Source organism: Homo sapiens, chromosome 5 (assembly GCF_000001405.40).
Source record: "Homo sapiens chromosome 5, GRCh38.p14 Primary Assembly".
NCBI lineage: Eukaryota > Metazoa > Chordata > Mammalia > Primates > Hominidae > Homo > Homo sapiens.
This window is the reverse complement of record NC_000005.10, coordinates 143,805,075-143,827,293: the sequence shown is the minus strand read 5'-3', so window position 1 is coordinate 143,827,293 and position 22,219 is coordinate 143,805,075. Positions and strand designations below refer to the sequence as shown.

At 39.8% G+C, this 22,219-nt stretch overlaps 1 protein-coding gene across 1 annotated transcript, besides 2 other annotated features; it reads right to left on the bottom strand.

Annotated features, from left to right (window-relative positions):
• Positions 1,914-2,053: a silencer, noted in NCBI's record as "silent region_16486". NCBI's record gives its function as "represses an Ori minimal core promoter by ATAC-STARR-seq in GM12878 lymphoblastoid cells {active_cell/tissue: GM12878}" and the evidence as "EXISTENCE:reporter gene assay evidence [ECO:0000049][PMID:35858748]".
• Positions 6,578-15,133, bottom strand: HMHB1 (histocompatibility minor HB-1). The gene is made up of 2 exons (NM_021182.3): positions 14,990-15,133; positions 6,578-6,814 (listed from the first exon to the last, which is right to left on the bottom strand). Exons 1-2 carry the CDS (start codon positions 15,024-15,026, stop codon positions 6,726-6,728), a joined length of 126 nt encoding a protein of 41 aa, NP_067005.1. The 5' UTR covers positions 15,027-15,133; the 3' UTR covers positions 6,578-6,725.
• Positions 20,460-20,529: an enhancer, noted in NCBI's record as "active region_23354". NCBI's record gives its function as "activates an Ori minimal core promoter by ATAC-STARR-seq in GM12878 lymphoblastoid cells {active_cell/tissue: GM12878}" and the evidence as "EXISTENCE:reporter gene assay evidence [ECO:0000049][PMID:35858748]".

The following is a 22,219-nucleotide window of genomic DNA, read 5'->3' as shown; positions in this document are numbered from 1 at the left end:
CACTCTGTGTGACCAGATTATTGTTGTTGAGTCAAAAGGAACCTGACATTGTGTATATATATCAACGTGGTTCTGCGTATTTCTTTACTGGGATGTTTATTTTTTCACATGCACACACTTTCCTACCCAACCCTCTTTCTGTGTTGGCATATGCTGTAGTGTTTCTGCAAGATATTGGTTCATTATTTCTGACTCTTGTGACATTCATTCTTATTACTTGCCCTTAAGGACCTGTTTCCAGTCATTGCTGGAGGTGGAACCAGGGAAGAATAACACACACGAAATGATTTCTGGTTTTAATTTTAATGGCAACTGCAGTCTCTTTCCCTATTCAATTATTTTTCTTGGAAACAATTCCTGAGTGCCTAGTTTCAGGGGAAACCTTCATCAAATAAACATAATATCAAGTTTGTATTAATGTGATGGGATGGCGTTTAGTACAATCAAATCTTGTTACTATGACTTACAGCAATGAATAAAGAAAGGAATTCAAATTCACGATTATAAGTTTCATGGAGGAAGGAATGTGATTTTGTGTAAATATATAAAGCTTTGTCTATGCATATATCAACATTCATACAGGACATGCTATAGAGAAAATGAAATCCCTTAAACATGCTCATTCACTCAGTCAACCAACATAAGGGAACGATCTGATCAAGATGGTTCTACGTGGCTGGGTATGGCAGGGGAGCAGCTACAGATGGGGCCAGGTTATGAAAAGTTAGCCAATGCCACAAGCTATAAAGTACTCCTCTTCCACTCCACTAAGCACTTTTTTGAGTATCTGTTATGTACCAGACACTGAGAAGACTCCAGCAATGGGAAGGCAAAGAGTCTGCCCTCCTGGAAGTTATATTCTAATGGAGAACATGCATTAAGCAAATAAACAAGATAATGACGGGTAGTGATTACTGTTATGAAGGAAATTCATAGAAACGCATAACAAGAGCTGCCATATTGGGGAAGGAGAATGTTGGGGGAAGGAGTTCTTTTAGATAGGGTGGTCATTGCCGGCCTCTCTAAGAGGAGACATCTATACTGAGATGAAAGAAGAGGAAAAGCCAGCCATGAGAAGTGTGCAGAGAAGACTATTCCATGCAGAGAGAACAGCAAGTGCAAAGGCAAAGGCTGGCCATGTCGGAGTGATGGAAGAGGGCTCAGGTTGGCTGGAATATGGAGAGCCAAGGGGGCATGGGTATACAATGAGATTGAAATCACATATGGATGTCTAGACAAGGGTGAAGTGTTGAGTTTTAAACAGGACTTGTATCAGCTCATCTTGGCTGCTGGGAGGAGAGAGGATTGTGAAGGAGCTGGGAGGAGAAAAGCAGAGAGAGCCCTTAGGAGACAACTGTAGTCATCCAAACAAAGAGATAGGGAATGGAGCTAGTTAGTAGCAGATGAGATGGAGCACAGCGAATAAGACACATGATATGGAAAACCGAAGAGCCTGCTTATTTATTGGCTGTAATAGATGAGGAAAAGAGAAGACATAAACATGGCTCCTGGGTCTATTATGGCCATTTAGATTACTCTCAGGTGAGGCAAAGCAGATGCCCTTCCAGAATAATTTGCATTTTACAGTGAGCCCTGTGACTTTTTCCTTACAGAAAGAAAGTGGTCTGCAAATGGTTATAATACAGAGATTAAGAGGCCAAAGTCGTCGTTTAACTGTGTGATCTTAGGCTCGACGCTGCCCCTCTCAGAGCCTCAGAACCACCTTGATTAACCTCCAAAATCCCTTGGAGGTAATGAGTTTTTCATTGGTGCAGAAATAGCCATTCCCTTGGTAGAAGTAGGATTGTACAACTGAGAAGCTGAACCAAACACAACAATTGGTGGAGTGCGTTCCTCCCTCATTACCCTGTAATCTCCAAAGAACCTCCTCATAGGTGCTCTTCATATAGTTTATCTTTGCACCTTAATGTCAGCACAGCAGCAAGTCCATGGCAGGGAAGGGGCAGCCCAAAATACATCCACCAGAGGGCAGCATAGAGCTGTGCTTGCACAGATCAGCCCCTGAGGTCATCAGCCCCTGCTGTGGGAGCGTGCAGATACCTGCTTCCAGAGAAGAGCAGAGTTGGGGTCTGGAATCACTGCTGCTGAAGCAAACCTTTTGGCCAGGGTACTGAGAAGAGCATGAGAATGTCGCTGCTACAAACAGTGACAAACCCTAAATCCAACTGCAGCTTACACAGTCCAAAAAACAGATAAAATAGTATTTTTATCTTTAGCTGTCTTACATGGAGGGCTATGTACCTGGCACTGACAGATGGGTATACGCATTATCTCACTTAAGCTTTACATCAACCCTATGTGCTGCATCCTGTTTTTTATTCCTAGTTTACAGATGAGGAAACAAGTTACTGAAGATCAGTGATGGGGCAGTTTTCTCTAACTCTATAAAAGTCTGTTTCACTATAAAACCTCCTCCTCCAGGCTGTATACATCTGCTTGTTATTTTTCTAGAGTTCTGCTGGCTGCTCTGTGGATAGAAAGGAAGTATTACATAAGGATTATATAGGATTTGGCTCTTGCCCTTGAAGTACGTACACTTTCAGAATGGAGAGAACAACTTAGGTATCATACAAACAACTGTATATAATCCAGAGCTTCACGGCTTGGTAAAACTATGTTTTCACTACTCCCCAGTCTCAAGTGTTTTTCCACTGGTACTACACAATTGCTATAAACAAAGTCTTTTTCGTGAGAAGTGGTGTGCTGTAGTCAAACATTCAATCATTCATTCATTTGCTCTCCAAATATTTAATGAATATTTCTTACTATGACAGACACTGGATATCACACAGAAACATACTTCATCCTTGCCCTTGAGGGGCTTATAATTTAGTTTGGTATGGTGAAAAATGGACAATGGCAAGTAAACCAGTACATGTGGGATTATAATTATACATGCCATTAAAAAGGTCCAGTGGTTAGCTATTATCCCTAGTGACCTCAGCTCTTGGACCAATGATTTCCTGCTCTTGATTCCCGTGATCTCCTTCTCTATTGCAGCCACCGGGCAACCCTGCCTCGAGCAGGTCTTCTCTTCTGTGACCTTGACCTTTCTGAATCGCCTCTGTGATTGCAATCTCATGGACACATGTCTCTCACACTCCTTTGGATTCCAGCCAGCCTTTCCTCCACCCTCAGTGTATAATCCCTCTTTCTGTATTCTCTTGTCTGCTCAGGACTCCATGGCAGGTCAATTCAGCCATACCCTTGTTCCTGCTCTAAAATCCCCTGACCTTCCATGATGCCCATCCTGACCAATCCTGAGTCTACCTAGCACTCTGCCCTCTCTTCCCCAGCACTGCCCTGACCTTCTTCCCACTCATCCTCTCTGACCAAACCTCAAAGCTCCTCTGCAGACCTTTCAGGAGAACTTTCTTTGCTTCCTGTTTTATTCTCCATGGTCCCCATGTCAGGCCTTTTCTACTCCCCTCAATCCCAAATATACTAAATGCACATTGTAGTAAATGTAAGAAAACATGTGAACATCCTCAGCTTCCTTTGTCTTTACCTCAGAATCTTCCTCCACCTGTGCCCATTTGTCTTTGGCTCTCCAAGCAGAATAGGGAGTTTCTTGCTCTTGCAGGCACTTCATGATAAGGCCCAATGGTACTTGAAAAGAATCTTATAGCGGCACTCCATTCATTCCTTCATGCACGCCTACCTTTCGTACTGCATTCCACAGCTGTGTATTGACCACCTACTATTTTCCAGCATTACAGTTAGCACAAGAGATACCCCATAGCAGCCTAGGATCAGGGAGGAGCAGGTCAGGTAGACTGGAACATTATGGGAGAAATGGAGTGTCCTGGTACAAGGTCAGGCAGGTGTTGGGGGGTGTGTGTGTAAGACCTGCTCTGCACAACACCAGAGGTCATATTAACATTCCAAACTTATTCTAAAAGAAAAGGAAACCAGAAGACTGACCTGATCTGATTTGCAGTTTCCAAAGGACCACTGTGGTTGCAGTGTGGGGAATAGATTAGAGAGGGCCTGAGTGGAAACAGAATGGAGGGAACGATGGAAAGCTGGTACAGTAACCTGGGTGAGAGGGTATGGCTTCCTGTGCACAAAATCTCCACTCTTGAACATTCCGGCAGCCCTTGGACTCTATGCATCTGTGATTCCTCGCAAGTGCCCCAAGGCTCTGGCCCTGCTCTCCCTCCCCTAATTTATCTCACGCAGAGTCTTGTGCCCCAACCTGTACGCTACGCTCTAAATGACAAGAACCTCTCTCTGTTCTCTGAACAGTCAGGCACATTCCCTCCTCCAGGCCTTTGCTCATGCTGTTCTCTCAACCTGAATGGCCCTCCCTTCTCTCAGTCTGCTCCTATGTTCAACCCCTTTACAAATGCTCATTCATTACACGAAGGGAATGAAGCTAGTCCTCCTTGCAAATTTATGTTTATAATTTATTATATCACGATTACATTTTGACTTGCATTTTAGTTAGTTCCTTCCTGCTGTCCCCTAAATTGGGAGTCTTGTGGGAGAGGGAACATATTTTATTAGTATTTTTATTATCTCCTTCAAACCCATACTACCTTGCACAGTGGGATATCTTAGTGGGTGTTAAATGCTCCCTGTATGAAATTGCAAAGAATCCAACCCAATCCAATCCAATCCAGCTCAATTCAATTCAATTCAATTCAATTCAATTCAATTCAATTCAATTCAATTCAATTCAATGCCTTGTATACTGGTTATTTCCTTTATAGGTGGTAAGCCCTTTAAGGTTAGGCACTTTACTATGTTTCTTTGTGTCCTACCTGGCTTATATGGTAGGAGCTTGCTAAGTGCTTATTGATTGCCTTACTTAAAGATACACCTTGGTAGTGGAAGTGTTAAGTTGGCTTTGGACTCTTATTTCTTTTTATTTCATAGATACCAGTAACTACTTCTTATGTCAAATAGGGTATGTATAAGCTTGAAAGTTGTAATTCCATACAATTAAATGGCCAAAAAATGAAATGTAATACAGACTCTTAAATAGTTGATAAATGGGTTTAGGCAGCTGTATATAAAGACATAAACATATTATTCTTGGCAGGCTCAGCTTTATGAGGGCAAAAGAAAAAGTTATGACTGATGGGGACGGGGACAATGGTGGCATGATATTAGAGACCACAAATAACCTCCCTTCAATATCTATTTCACCAAATGGAGGCCTCCTCTGCTGCTCACAGCCAAAGGTGTCCTTTGTCTTATCCTAAATGCTGTTAAGACATCATCTGTAACTCTAGAGGGTCTATTACATCGAATTCATTGGTATTGCATTCAAAGGACTTCCAATCTGGCCCAGGCCCCCTTACCAAACTCGTCTTTAAGCTACACACTGCTCACTTCTTATGTAATGGAAATGCCCTTGTGAAGGTCACCATTTTTTTTATTGTGGTAAACTATATATAACATAAAATTTCCCATTTTAATTATGTTTAAGTATACAGTTCAGTGACATTCTTATGCAACCATCACCTTCATCCATCTCCAGAAGTTTTTCATCACTGCAAACTGAAATTCTCTAACCAACCATACCTATTTTTAATTTTTTAATTTAAAATGATGTCTTCTAATGGTAGGAAGTTCAAACAGTATCAATGTGTAAGTCCTACTCACCATTCCATACCCACTTTCTGCTGTTAACAGTTAGTTGTGTATTCATCTGCATCTCTTTTTTTTTTTTGAGATGGAGTCTCGCTCTGTCGCACAGGCTGGAGTGCAGTGGTGCAATCTCGGCTCACTGCTGCAAGCTCCGCCTCCCCAGTTCTGGCCATTCTCCTGCCTCAGTCTCCCAAGTAGCTGGGACTACAGGCGCCCACCACCACGCCCGGCTAATTTTTTGTATTTTTAGTAGAGAAGGGGTTTCACCATGTTAGCCAGGATGGTCTCGATCTCCTGAACTTGTGATCCACCTGCCTCGGACTCCCAACTGCATCTTTTATTGTGTGCAATATTTATTTTATGAAAATTGAATCATAAATGAAAAATGCTGTTTCCATTTAACCAGGTAGTATGTACATTTTCCCCATGTTCTAACATATAGGTATACTCCGTTCCTTTTATTGTCCACAGAGTGTCCCATAGTATGAATGAATGTACTATAATTTATGTAACTATTTCCCTAGCGATAGACACTTAGGTTTGTTTTTAAGGTTGTTGCTGTTGTTGTTTTTCCTTTGAGAAACACTGCTACAATAAAAATCCTGGTACACTCAGGCAAGCATTCCTGTGGGACACATTACTAAAGGTTAAATTTCTAAATATAAATGTTTCTACTTAAAAAAAAATGAATGTATACTATCACATTACTCTCCACAAGTGTTGTAACTGCTTGTTTCCCAGGAGTGTGCCAGGGAAAAGGGCTCTGTGCTTGGTAGCCATTGTTAATTCACGTCTGAGTGTGGATTTGCTTGAAGTCACTTCCCTCTTTGATAGGACCCTAGATGCTCTCAAAGGAGGATCTAATAAAAAAGAAAGGAAGCCTCTAAGAAAGTGGTGAATTCATAAATCATGGTGGGTTGATCCTGTTTGGGAAAATGAGAGACACACACACATGTTCAAAGGTTGACTTTTCATTTCACTGTGCAGAGCAGAGGCAAAGGGCATATGTTCCACTTGCTTAATTTTACTCTTCTTCATGCTCAGCAATTTGTCCCTGCTCATCCACACCAAAACTCTGGGCTTCGAGTCAAACCTCAACAGCAGTGTCAAAGCCTATAAGTCAGGGAAGAGCTGTGCCTCAGATACACATCATCTTCAACTTCAACCAATTCCGACTTCCAAACATGCAGAGAACCTATAGAAAAGAATGGCTTAGCTGAGACTTGAGCTTACAACTTCTCAGCAGTATTTTCTATTTAGATTAATAAAACTCCAAACAGAGTAAAGAGGACTTGTGTTAGCTTTTTAGTTTTGTTTTGTTCTGTTTTTTTTTTTTTTTTTTTTTTTTTTTTTTTTACTTATGATGAGCCGGGGCAGCACCTGTAGTAATGCATGGCTTTGGTATTTGCATAGCATAAGCTTACATTCATTAGAAAAGCATGTTATTCATTGAATTTCCCACGAAAACCAGTGGTTTTAATTAAGAAGAAAATTAATGAAATGCAATTAGTTTTGCTAATAAAGAACCATGCTAATTTCTGCAAAAAAATCTTATTTTCTATAATTAGCTCATATGGAATTCATTCATTAGAAATAAAATCATGTATACATGCAGAAAACCAAACTGCTGAGCAGGAGAGTTTCTAATAACTGAACTCTGAGAGTAACTGTTGAATAGCAGAAAAACATTAAGCCAATATTTCCTGATATAGTATATCTCATGGCAGATTTCCAGAGCAACCATGAAAGGGGCCCCTTATTTTAGAGCCAAGCCTATGTGAAATGAGATTATTCTCTTAAGAACAGTTTTTCCATAAGCCCAGGTTGTAAGGGCAAGAATATCTGATGTCACCCTTGCCATGACTAAGCCAAGAAAGGAGACTAGAGAAAATTTATTCTATTGCCATCACTCTGGGCATTTAAAAAATCAACAGGGAGCTTTGGAACTGGATAAAATCTAAATGTTCAATGTATACACTGAGACATGGGGTATTGCCATTGTGCTCCCCACCGCCCCCCACCTTTTTTTTTTTTTTTTTTGAGACAGAGTCTCACTCTCTCGCCCAGGCTGGAGTGCAGTGGCACGATCTTGGCTTATTGCAACCTCCGCCCCCCGAGCTCAAGCGATTCTCCTGCCTCAGCCTCCCGAGTAGCTGGGATTACAGGCTCCTGCCACCGTGCCTGGCTAATTTTTGTATTTTTAGAAGAGACAGGGTTTCACCATCTTGGTGTGACCCTTTTTAAACTGTATTAGGCTGAAAGCCTTTCACATACGGATAAGGATTCCTCTCAGATATCTACAAGGAAGTTGCCAGGATATTGTAGTAGACTTTTAGGGTTCTCTGCCCATCTTACAATAACCCCATAACTGCTCTTTTCAGCTTAAGTGTTGGCAACTAATGTATATTATGTGACTCCATGCTCCTCCCTACCAGTGGCAAACCAAATTCTCTTTCCCAGGAATTTGGTATTGGGACTAAAATATTGTGAGTCTTGGCTGGTAAGTGGAAGAAATCTGTCAAGAATTGTGTAATTCCTATCTTCTGTTACCACATTCATGGAGAAGCAGAGAAAAGAGAGATTGAGAGAGATACAGAGACAGAGAGGTGGGAGTTGGAGGATGGATATAGAGAGACAATCAGAGAAAAGAAATAGAAAAGAATGGTCTTTTGTTTTTATGTTTTCTAGTTCAGGTGATTTCCTAAAGCCTGGCTGAGTTGTTGACTTTGAGGTCCTCACGATACTCCTCTATCCTTGTACCAGACCTCCCCTCTTTTGCTGATGTTAACCTGAATAGAATTCTGTACTTGCAACAGAAGGTCTAACCATTGCATGTGGTGGAGTACATATTTAAGGAGAGACCAGCTAGGGGTAGGAGCCAGGGAAGAAAAAAAGGAAGAGAAAAAAAAAATAGCAAGTACTCGCTATGTGTCAAGCAACTGGCTAAACACTTTAAAAATTATCTTATTACTCCATAAAGTATCCTTTAAAAAGATGTTATTTCTCCCCATGTTTTCAAGGAAGAGTTCCAAATTTCAGAGGTTTAACTATAGGCTGCATAGCTGGCTGGTGGAAGATCTGGAATTTGTATCCACATTTGGGCTATTGGGCTTGGGCTCTGGTCTGACTGTGATAAATAATAGTCACTTTGATACTTGTGTAACTTTGAGCAAAGCACTTCACTCTATTTAGGCCTTGGGTAAATATAATACTATTTAAGGTCCCTTCCAACTTAATAGTATAGTATCACTTTAAAAAATTATTTAGAACAGTGTTTCTTTATCCAGTACTTTGAGTAGGGGTGGAGGTGGGTGAGTTAGATCTAAGCTTTGATGTCCTTTCAAATTTTACCCATCCTTCATCCCTACCCTACCCTTCCCCTAAAGAATTCTATAAGTTCTGGTGGATGTGTAAAGGTCATGGGCAAAGAGTTAAGATTTAAACCCAGGGCTGTCTTACCACTTTGTTATGCTTCTGTTTCCTCTTTTACTATGCCTATTGGAATAATATAGAAGTTCAATAATTTTTTGAACAGAATTGCATGAATATTTGCCACAAATGACTAATGTGTCCTACCTTGAATGCTTCTTTGCACATTAGAGAATTAACTTGTCAATTTCTGATAAAAATCCAGCTGGTATTTGTATTGGAATTGCATTGAATCTATTGATCAGTTTGGGGATATTGCTGTCTTAATATTGAGCCTTCTAATCCATGAATATAATATACTTTTCCACATTTTCAAAGGTCTCCTTTAATTTCTTTCAGCAGTTTTGTAGTTTTCAGCCTAGAATTTTTGCATTGCATTTACTAATTTATTTCTAGGTATTTGATATCTTTGGATGCTACTGCAAATCAATATTGTGAAAATGACCATACTGCCAAAAGCAATCTACAAATTCAACACCATCCCCATCAAAATACCACCATCATTCTTCACACAATTAGGAAAAAACAATTCTAAAATTCATATGGATCCAAAAAAGAGCCCGCATAGCCAAACCAAGATAAGCAAAAAGAACAAATCTGGAGGCATCACATTACCTGATTTCAAACTATACTATGAGACATAGTCACCAAAACAGCATGGTACTGGTATAAAAATAGGCACATAGACCAATGGAACAGAATAGAGAACCAGAAATAAACCCAAATACTTACAGCCAACTGATATTTGACAGAGCAAACAAAAACATAAAGTGGGGAAAGGACACCCTTGTCAACAAATGGTGGTGGGATAATTGGCTAGCCACGTGTAGGAGAATGAAACTGGATCCCCATCTCTCACCATATACAAAAATCAACTCAAGATGGATTAAGGACTCAAATCTAAGACCTGAAACTATAAAAATTCTAGAAGAGAACATTGGGAAAACCCTTCTAGACATTGGCTTAGGCAAGGATTTCATGGCCAAGAACCCAAAAGCAAAGGCAATAAAAACAAAGATAAATAGCTGGGACTTAATTAAACTAAAGAGCTTTTACGCAGCAAAAGAAACAGCAGAGTAAACAGATGACTGACAGAGTGAGAAAAAAATCTTCACAATCTATACATGTGACAAAGGACTAAGGACTAATATCCAGAATCTACAACAAACTCAAACAAATCAGCAAGGAAGAAAAAAATCCCATCAAAAAGTGGGCTAAGGACATGAATAGACAATTCTCAGAAGAAGATATACAAATGGCCAACAAACATATGAAAAAACACTGAGCATCACTAATGATCAAGGAAATGCAAATCAAAACCACAGTGCAATACCATCTTACTCTGCAAGAATGGCTATAATCAAAAAATCAAAGCACAGTAGATGCTGGCATGGATGCAGTGAACGGGGAACACTTTTACACTGCTGGTGGGAATGTAAACTTGTACAACCATTATGGAAAACAGTGTGAAGATTCTTTAAAGAACTAAAAGTAGAGCTACCATTTGATCCAGCAATCCCACTACTGGGTATCAACCCAGAGGAAAAGAAGTCATTATGCGAAAAAGATACTTGCACACACATGTTTATAGCAGCATAATTTGCACGTGCAAAATCATGGAACCAATACGAATGCCCATTAATCAATGAGTGGATAAAGAAACTGTGGTATATATATACAATGGAATACTACTCAGCCATAAAAAGGAATTAATTAATGGCATCCACAGTGACCTGGATGAGAATGGAGAGTATTACTCTAAGTGAAGTAACTCAGGAATGGAAAACCAAATATCATATATTCTCACTCATAAGTGAGAGCTAAGCTGTGAGGACGCAAAGGCATAATAATGACACAGTGGACTTTGGGGACTCAGGGGGAAAGGGTGGGAAGGGAGTGAGGGATAAAAGACTACAAATAGGATGCAATGTATACAGCTCATGTGATGAGTGCACCAAAATCTCAGAAATCACCACTAAAGAACTGACTCATGTAACCAAACACCACCTACTCCACAATAACCTATGGAAATGAGAATATTTAAAAAATATATTCTTGGTAGCAGAATAATATTCTCCCCCAAGATGCTCATGTCATAATCCTCAGAACTATGGCAAAGGATAATTAAGTTTGCAGATGGAATTTAGATTGCTAATCAGGTGACCTTAAAATAGGGAGATTCTTTTGGGTTATCTGAGAAAGCTTAATGTAATAAAAGGGCCCTTAAAAGTGGAAAAGAGGGCTGGGCACAGCGGCTCACGCCTGTAATCCCAGCACTTTGGGAGGCCGAGGCGGGTGGATCATGAGGTCAGGAGATCGAGACCATCCTGGCTAACAAGGTGAAACCCCGTCTCTACTAAAAATACAAAAAATTAGCCGGGTGCGGTAGCGGGCGCCTGTAGTCCCAGCTACTCGGGAGGCTGAGGCAGGAGAATGGCGTGAACCCGGGAAGCGGAGCTTGCAGTGAGCCGAGATTGCGCCACTGCAGTCCGCAGTCCGGCCTGGGCGACAGAGCGAGACTCCGTCTCAAAAAAAAAAAAAAATACAAAAATTAGCCAGGCATGGTGGCGCTCACCTGTAATCCCAGCTACTTAGGAGGCTGAAGCAGGAGAATCACTTGAACCCGAAATGTGGAGGTTGCAGTGAGCCAAGATTGCGCCACTGCACTCCAAATCCAGCCTGGGCGACAGAGCGAGACTGCATCTCAAAAAAAAAAAAGAAAAAAATACAAGGAAAAAAGAAAAAGTAAAAAGTAGAAGAGGGAAGCAAAACAGGAAAGTTAAAGGGATACATTACTTTGAAAAAAGGTTAGAGAGCTGCAACATTGTTAGCTTTAAAGACGGAAGATGGGACCATGAGCAATGGAATGCAGGTAAATCTGTAAGTTGGAAAAGGAAAGGAAAAGGATTCTCCCTAAGAGCCTTCAGCTAAAACCACAGCCCCACTGACACCTTGACTATAGCCAAATAAGGCCCTGATTGGATTTCTGTCCTCTTAACTGTAAGATAATGAATTGTGCAGATTTAAACTACTAAATTTGTGGTAATTCAGTATAGCAACAATAGGAAACTAATACAGAATTAGGGAAAAGTTCAGTAATTTAGGTCTCTGAACTTTGTTAGAAAGGTCAGTTCTCTCTTCTCTTCACCCCTAATCCCTTCATTCATGGAGCTTGCCCCATGGTGACATCCTACAATTTGCCAGCTTTGGGAACAGTATCAGACAGAGCAACATTTGCATTTTTGCACCATCCATGCTGCAAAGCTGAGCAACAGAAAGGTTTGACGGGATAACAAATATCAACAAATGAGAGCTAGGTCAGGAAGAAAACCTGGTAGAAGCCACACAATATTTGTGCAATAGCCACAGGTATTTGTGGGCACAGGTGAAGCACTACTTTGAAGGATAACTTTTAGTGGGGACAAATTCCATTTTGAGAAAGTAGGAGACTAAAAGATAAAATTTTTATAATTATGACTCTATTTGTAGGTGAGGCCAGCTTGGATTATGCTAATAATAAGGTATACACTAATACTGGTTACTTTCTGAAGTTTATGACATAATTTTAAATATAATTAGAGACGATTGAAGATTACCCCTATAATGACAGCATCCTTGCATATTAGTTTTTCAATATCTTGAGTGATAAAAAATGAGGAGGATGTGAGATGTTGTGCTGGGAAGTGCACATAGGCCTCAGACTGTCCTCTCTCTGACAGCTAAGTCCTGAGTGAGCTCCTACTATGAACTGAAACGCAAAAAATGGAAAGAGCATTTGTTGGGGCCAGTGTAAGTCAACTGTTTCCATCCTTATTCCTTAACTCAAAAACTCAAATAAAGAAAGACATTGTCAATTTCATGAGCGGTCCATATTTTTTTCTATTGACGAGAGACAAAGAATAACAAATAAAAGTATTTTATAAGGATATGAGTTATAAAATTAACTTTTTGTTATCTCCAAATTGTTATTTTGCAAGGAAAAAAATATAAGTAACAAATATGAGTATTCCTTTTTTTGGATCCATATTTGGCTGGATGCAGCCTGGACAGGTGTCATGGTTATAGATTATTGTCATGTGTCTCAGTTGTGATTTCAGTATGCTTATTGCTAGTTCTTTTATTTTGCCAATGGCTACATTTTTAATAAAGAAAAAGACAAGGATAGATGAGGAAAATATAGAACATTTTTATCTTCAATGCATGTCAGTAAGAATGATGCTATGAAATTTCAGTTAATAATGAAATTGGAGCTACAAAGACCAAATCATAAATAAAATGAATTTGCAATAGTGTTACTCATAGTAACACATAAAAATATGAAAATATCATGTGCCATATTTGCCTCTGCACTGAGTTATATCTGTACTTCTGCTTCAATACTGTAATTGGCCATCTCATTTCTATTGCCTATGGAGCAAAAGTCTGAAATAAAAAAGGTATGTTCATATTTATTACTTATATTTTTTTCCTTGCAAAATGACAATCTGGAGATAAAAAAAGTTAATTTTATAATTCACATCCTTACAAAAGAATTTTATTTGTTATTCTTCCAAAGGAAATCCACATGCCATTTACTTTATCTCTCACCAATAAAAAAAAATATGGACTGCTCATGAGACTGACAATGTCTTTCTTCATTTGAGTTTCTGAGTTAAGGAAACAAGGATGGAAACAGTTGACTTATGCTGGCCCCAACAAATGCCCTTTCCATTTTTTACTTTTCAGTTCAGCTAACATTTATTGACAGCTTTTACTGTGCCAAGCACTGTGCTAGATGCCAAGGATACAGAAATGATTAAAACACAGTTCCTTCCCTCAAGAATCCCATGCTCTGATGGAGGAGGCGAACAAGTGCTTTAGGCCAAAATGTAAAACTATGAGGGCACCAAAAAGGGAGTGGTTTATTTTGCCTGGAAAGAAATAAAACCTTCATAGAAGAGGTGACATTTGAAAGGGGCCTTGAAGGAAAAAAGGGAAGGTCGGTAGTTGTCTGTATGAAACAATAAAACAGCATAAAAATTCTAAAAGAAAGTTCTGTTTGTATTCTGTGGGCTACCTGTGCAACTGGATCTGAGCATTCCCTGGGGTGGCTGAGGGGGCTGTGTGGACCAGACAGAGCACAGGCTTCCCCGGCCTCATCAGTCCAGGCTGAGTGACCTCCAGTTGCAGGAAGGAGAAAACAGCAGATCCCTTCAGTGCACGGCACCAACACCTCCTATAACGTCAACCCAGGGCTCCGTGTGTCCTCTTCAAGAGGAGAAAACAAGACAAAAAAACAAACAAACAAACAAAAAACACGACAGCAGGGCCTTTCTGCCATTTCCTGGCTCTGAAATGAGGTTAGTGAGTTAAGGAATGAAGCCATCGTGTCTTTATCTGTAAACTGGGGAAAGCTATACCCCCCTCAAGTGCTTCTGTGAGGATGAAAGAGAGAAATGCATGCAAAGCCCCCGGCACATGATCCTAAGAAGTGGGAGCATGGCGATGATGGTGATGATGGTGGCCATGCTAAGGATAAAGGACGGGTCTGGTCTCTGGGCTGCCTTGGGAAGCCTGAGCATCCCACGCGGTGGGCAAGAACAATGTGATCTTGGCTACCCTGGCTCCGACCCAGAGGGACTTCCTGCCCATCTGCACTTCCCTTGCCGTTGTCCTTGTGGCTCAGGTGGTGCAGGCAGCTGCTCCAACTGCTGCCTCTGGTGCCCTGACAGCTGCAGGCAGCCAGGCAATGGGCTATGAAACCGAACCTCAACTGGAAACTATCCGCCCTAAATAATCCCAGCAACAAGGGCCGTCTCACTCCTCTCCCCTGCCTTCCGCCATCCCTGTTTTCACCTGTTGTGGTTTCCCTCTCATTCCACCAGCATTTTCTTTCATTTTCTCTGCCCCTTCGCTGCCTCTTTCCCTCTCTCTCTGTTCTCCCTCCTCCTCGCTCCCTCACCTCTTTTTTCTTCTCTGCATTCTGGCTGCTCCTCCAGTTCTGGTTTCTCCACTGTGGTGTGGCAGAGGATGTGAGGTCAGAAGGCTCAGGGCCTGCCCGGCTTCTGAGATGCGGGGCAAGCCGCCTCGGCCTCCTGGGATGTGGTTTCCTCATCTGCAGAATTGGACCAGAATGACTCTGGAGTGTTCCTTCCGTTCTAAACTCCCGTTCTGTTACATTGTGTTGTGTTAGCCTTTGTGCCTGCTTTTCCTGCTTCAGCTGTCTCATCTGTCCACCTGCCTCTTCCATCTGCATCCCACCACTCGGGTCCAAGCTGCCAGCATCCCTTGCAAGGACCCCTAGAGCAGCCTCCTGCTATTGGAGGTCTCTCTGCTCCTGTTCTTATCCACATCCAATGTGTTATCCACACAGAATCCACAGTGACCTTATCAAAATAGAGATGAGATTGCTCACTCAGCTTAAATCCTCCAAACTCCTTTACACCCCTTTTCTATCATAGGTCCCTGTTTATGTTCTTCAGAGTAATTATTATTGCCTGAAATTATCTTTATTTACTCATGAATTTCTTAATGTTGATGTATCATTTGCTGTCTGTCTTCCACACTAGAATGCAGGCTCCAGGAGTGATGGACTTGATTGTCTCGTTTACTCCATATCCTCACTGGAGGGGCCAGCGCCTTTATTCTCTCCATAAACACTGAATGAAGGAACCTCCCTTTGCCGCAGAATCCATCTCTCCCCTTCTTGAGAGTATTCTCTCCTAACCACACCATTTCTTACTTAGAAATACCTGTGCCTGCCAGAAATCCTGCCCATCCTTCTCTGTCATTTCTGATATAATTCCCCTCATTCACTTTTCTCAGTCAGCCGGGTCCTGTGTTCCCATGGGCTATGGTAAAGAACAATGGCAATGATGAAGCTAGTTCTTCTTTCACTTTAATGTCAATCTGTGCCGTTGGATGCCTTAAGATAAAATAACTTAACAACTCTGAGACTTGAATCTAGTTAATTGTCTTACAATGCTGAGAAAGAGACTTCTTTAAGAAAATATATTAAAACTTCCAAAATTCTGTGCTTGGTTCTTGGGGAGATGTTAGGAGTAGCCATTTTCTTTAAAACACCTCTTTAAAGTAGGTAATGTTAATATGTCCATTTTACAGGTAACAAAACTGGGATTTAGAGAGTGCACAACTGGACAAGGCCATAGAGCCAGAGGTGCATGGAGCCAGGATTTGAATGGAAGAAGTGCAACGCCAGACCCAGGCACCTAGCCACCACATGGGTGACCCTAGTCACCCTCTCACTCCCTAGATTAGATTACTCTGCATTATTTTCACCATAACACTTATAAATACCTGATGCGATCATATTTCTTGTGTCTATTTGCTTCCATTATAACATAAACTCCATCCAGGCAGTTACCATATCTGACCTGTTCACTGCACTTATTCCAATACTTACAATAGTGCCTCATACATAATGGACGTTCAATAAATATTTGCTAAATGAATTAGTTATTTGCATATTGAGGATGAGATATGAAAGAAGGCCTGATAATTCTGTATATAAAACTCCATCTTAGCCAGGCACTGTGGCTCACACCTGTAATTCCCAGCACTTTGGGAGGCCAAGGCAGCAGGATCGCTTGAGCCCAGGAGTTTGAAACCAGCCTGGTCAACATAGACCTCATCCCCACACAAAAAAAAATAATAAATAAAAAATAAAAAATTAGCCAGGCACGGTGGTGCATACATGTAGCCTCAGTTACTCAGGAGGCTGAGGCCAGAGGATCAATTGAGCCCAGGAGTTTGAGGCTGCAGTAAGCCATGATCACTCCAATAATGCACCCCAACCTGGATGACAGAGAAAGACTGGGTCTGTAAAAAACAAAAACCATCTTCTTTGATGATGGAATTTTCTCAAAAGTATCTTCAGTGTTGGCATATCTTTTTCCTTTGAGAATGCATTGGCTTTTTGCAATTAGCCAAAACTGTTAAAGACTGCTTTTTTGTCAAAAAGAACATATGGTCATAAAGCATCATCACTGCTTTTCTTGCCCTGAAATTAGATCTATTTGTGGAGGTGTGGAGGTCTAACTTTCTGTGCTTTGGGAAGCTTATGCACTCTGGTAAGGCCCCTGGACTCTGTCTCAGAATCATCATTTTTATAAGTATAAAAGAAAATATATAGAATTATAAAGAGCCAATTATATTGAATACAGTTATCAAAATGTTAAAAATTGTGACATAGTAACATATTTTCTTCTTTAATAACATATTAAATAAGAAGATCTAAAAATGTCTAATATCAACCTGGGAATGATATTTACAGATATCTGCAAAAACTAAAATGTGTTATGAAAATAACAGAATTAAATTAGACTCAGAATTTTCACTGGTAACAAAAATTTAGGTATTACTATTGCTTTCATAATTAAAGGAAACTTTAACTTTCTATTTTTCCTTTTTTTTTTTTTTTTTGAGACGGAGTCTTGCTCTGTCGCCCAGGCTGGAGTGCAGTGGCACAATCTCGGCTCACTGCAAGCTCCACCTCCTGGGTTCATGCCATTCTCCTGCCTCAGCCTCCTGAGTAGCTGGGACTACAGGCACCCGCCACCACGCCCGGCTAATTTTTTGTATTTTTAGTGGAGACGGGGTTTCACCATGTTAGCCAGGATGGTCTTAATCTCCTGCCCTTGTGATCCGCCTGCCTCGGCCTCCCAAAGTGCTGGGATTACAGGCTTGAGCTACCGCGCCTGGCCAGGAAACTTTAACTTTCATAAAGAGGTTAGTACAAAGAAAGATATAATTTTTCCTGCCCAGATTTACAGGCCTCTGAATCTTATCCACAGACTCCATGGACCCCAAATTTTAAAACCCTATATTAGAGAAATCCAGAATAGGTTCAGCAGTAGCAGCTACATTTAAGTAAGTGTATTACCTCTTAAGGTGACCTTAAACAGGTTATTCTTTACATGGTGTATAAGTTCTGACATACATGGTTATTTTTAAAATTCAGCACCACTTTTAAACCTACTGTAAACCTTTTAAAATTTTAAATTATTTAATTTTAAATTAATTTTTAAAATTAAAGATTTTAAATTAAGTTGTTAAAATTCAGCATCACTTTATACCTACCAATAGCGGGCATAGTTATAATCATTTTAATCTGTTTGCTTATTCTGTATCTACATATATATGATATAATATTCTGAAAACTTTTAATCCTTGACTATTATAAATTTATAAATTTTATTGGTAGATTTTATTTTATATTTTTAATTTGGTCCTCCTCTTTTATCTTTTCTTGTTTATTTTGACCAACATCTCCCTAACCCCTTTCCCAAATTTATTGATTTTTACATATTAATTTAAAACAGTTCATGCAGTCACATAATCCAAAAGTTCAAAAGGTATAAACGTACAGAAAATCTCCTTCTATCTCTGTCCAGAGTCACCTGGGTCTCTTCCTTTAGGGCAACCAATATTAGTTTCTTATATATTCTTTCAGAGATGCTTGAGATATACAAGCTTGTAAATTGTAGCATATTATCCCCATGATTTTCCACGCTCTTTTTTTTCACTTACTTCTATGTCTACAAGTTAATTCTATATTGGTGCCTTAAAACCTTCTTCATTTGTTTTTGTGGCTGCATAGTCTATTGTAAGGATGTATCATAATTATTTAACCAGTCTCTTAGTGATGGGCATTTAAGTTTTGCTATTCGATTTGCTGTTTACTATCATGAAAATTATTTGCTATTAGAAAAAGAGAGAACAGCAAAAAGTATCATCTAAGATTGGAATTTTGTCATGGACACCCACATATGTGGGACTTAGAATCATGAACCCTAAATATAAGTAGGTGGCAAGAGATGTATACCATATAGAGGTTAATATAACATATTGAAAATCACAATATCATGGATAATACCCCAACAGGATAGAGAGGAAACACAGAAACGTCATCAACCCTTTCAGTGGTCTAGGCCAGGTTTAGCATTTTTCAGGACCTAAGAGGGGATAACTGAGGGCAGGTAGGATATCCCCAATTTGACAGGCCCCTTTGGAGGAAGCTTGAAAGTTTCAACGGAGCACATTTGTTTTGTTTTGTTTACTCTGGCTCTCAGGAACAGAGGCTTGAGTTAATAACACTCTTTGGTTCATGGCGCAATGTCATCAGTGGTCCATGGAGGTTCCTCTATTGTGCTTATTTATTCCCCTTAACCCCCATTTCTGTCTTTCATTGCCCCCCTCCCACATCATTCTAAATAAATGTGTTTAATGTGTATATTTTTATGTGCAAAATGGATATGATGATATTTTGTGCATGTGTGTGTATTTCAGATTTACAGCAATGATACTGGATTATAACTAATTCTATTTCTTCTTCCACCTCCACTATGTTGTATGGCCCCTCCGTGTTTCTACACAAACATCTAATTCATGGTCTCTAACTGCAGGGTGGTCACATCCATCACTTTGTATCCACCTGCTTTCTCAGTGAGGGACAGCCAGGGTGCCTCCTGCTCCTTGCCACCAGAAATTAAATTGCAGTTCACAACCTTGTACGTGGCCCCCTCTGGATCTGTGTGAGAATTTATCTGGTGTACATACCTGGGATAGAATTGCTAGGTTATACAATTATGTATACTTAGTTTGACTAATTACTGCCAGATTACTCCCCCAGATGGCTCCTCAGTCAGCAACAGCAGAACACCTGAGAGTCTTCCAGCCCCATATGTTTGCCAGCTCTTGAAATGATCTTGCTTTCAATTTTTTTTCCAGTCAAGTGATATATCATAATTATTTGCATTTGCATTTGTCTATTAGCAGATGATTTTGAGCATCTCTTCAATGCTTCTGGGTCTTTTCAAAGCACTCCTCTATAGATTGCCTGTTCCTACCCGTTGTCTGCACTTCTAGGGTTTCTGTCTTTTCCTTGTTGATGCTTAAGAATTTTTGATATTATATATTTTCCTAAATAATGTGTAAGAGTTTCTTGTCAATTTTAGATATGATTAATTCTTTTTCAATTTTCTCATCTGCCTGCTATCTTTGCCTTTCATTGAACCAAAATTCCTACTTTTAAAGTAATCATATTAATCTTTTTTAAAATGTATGGTTGTGCTTTTGATGTTCTGTTTAATAAATTTTTTCCACCCGAGTTAACAAAGATACTGTCCTACATTTTCTCCTATTATATTTCTCAATTTATCTTTTACATTTCAACACATCTGACTTCACCTGCATGTATAGTATTAGGAAGGGATTCAGTTTCATTTTTCTCCAAAGATAGTGAGACCTTTGAGCCAATGTGCTTGAAAGAAGCAGAAGCTGCAGGCTGGAAGAGATGGAAGAGAGGAGGGAAATAAGGTATCTGGGACCCACAGAGAAAGGTCATAGATGCAGAATCCAGAGGCTCCATGTGACCTACCCTAGGAGGCACTCCTCCATCTGTGGTCTGTAATGAAATACTGAAAAAACCAGCATGCAGCATACTTCTCTTACAAATAAAGCCGTTTGGAGGAATTTCCCAGCAGCATTGAAGTTCCGGTACATGGCTTTAAAAATATCCCCTGTACACAACAGAAGGACTTTCCCAAGTGGGAGGGAGAGTTGGGTGAGTAGGAAGAAAGGAAGCACCCAAGGGAGGCAGGCCAGAGCACACACAAGCAGGTAGCTGAGAATTGATTGCACTAAAGATGAGCCAGATGACAGAAAAATCAAAGAATTATTTCTGGTCCTCAAAGTTGAAAATCTACCCTTTTAGGAAAGGTAATTGGTTCCTTTCCAGTGTCTGAATCTTGAACATTCTTCTATTTCTAGTTTATTATCAACTGCCTGTGGTTAGACCAAGTGCTTATCAACCAATTAAAAAGGTCAAAGAAAAGCCCATGGAAAATGACCTAACCAAATTATCGGCAGATGTTTGATATTTCTAGACTTATGATATGCATATATTATAACAAATGCAAAGATGCCGGATTGTTTTAAAATTTTCTTCTTTGTAAATGGACCCGGCAGTCAGCCTTTCATTCTTCTGTGACTTTACCTCTACTAAGGAACCCGATCATAGCTGCAGAGAGGCTGTGAAATTGTCCTAAGACCATAGCTCAAGAAGGATAAGAAAAAAGAAAACCTCGGGGGAAAGAAAAAAAAGCAAAAAATGTTCTCTTTTCAAATCTATAAAAATGGTTCTTAAGAGCTGGAATTTTTCTTAACCAGCCAAAAGCAATGGTTGCCCAGTGGGAGGAAAAAGCAGAAGGGAAATAAAAGGTCACAGGGAGCATTATGTGTGTATGTGTTTTTAAAAATTTTTCATGGTTTCTTGTCCTGAATATTTTTTTTAATGCAAGAGAAAATTTAAATTGGTGTCTTCAATGTCTCTGCTAAGCTCTCTCTTTTTTTTTGTTCAAAAGAAAGTACATGTCTGATTGAAGGCATCTTCCAGCTTATTCACAAACTGACAGTTATGCAACGTATCCCCAACTTTTAAAAGAAATCAACAAGGTGTATTAAAGCTTATGACTTGCAAATAGAAGTCACATATGAAGATACATGTCTTGTCAAATAGATTGCTCTTATACCACAATGTGGAATGTCTTTAGGACTCTGGAGTTAAATCCTGGGATTCTTCTGACCCTTACATAATGTGAGGTCTATGGTGATGTACTTACACTCTCTGAGCCTTCATTTCTTCACTCATAAAACTGAGATAATAATACTACCTACTTTATAGTGATATTAGAGTATTATATGCCACATACCTATTAAATGACTAAAAATACTACTGACAATACCAACTTCTAATGAAGATGCATGGCAGTTGAAACTCTCATACATTGCTAATGGGAATGCAAAATGGTACAGCCATTCTGGAAGAAGTTTTGTAGTTTTTTTGTATGTAATCTTACCATATGACCTAACAATCCCACTGTTGGATATTTTCCCAAGTGAAATGAATACTTATATTCACACAAAACTATATGTAAATACTTACAGCAGTTTTATTTATAATCACCAAAACTGGAAGCAACCCAAAAGACTGGGAGAATGAATTAATAAGCTATGATATAGCCATACAATGGAATACTACTCAGCAACAGAAAGGAATGAACTATTGATACACACAGCTCGGATGAATCTCAGAGGCATTAGGCTAAGTGAAAGAAACCAGTCTCAAAGGTTATATATTGTATAATTCCATTTATGTAACATTCTTGAAAAG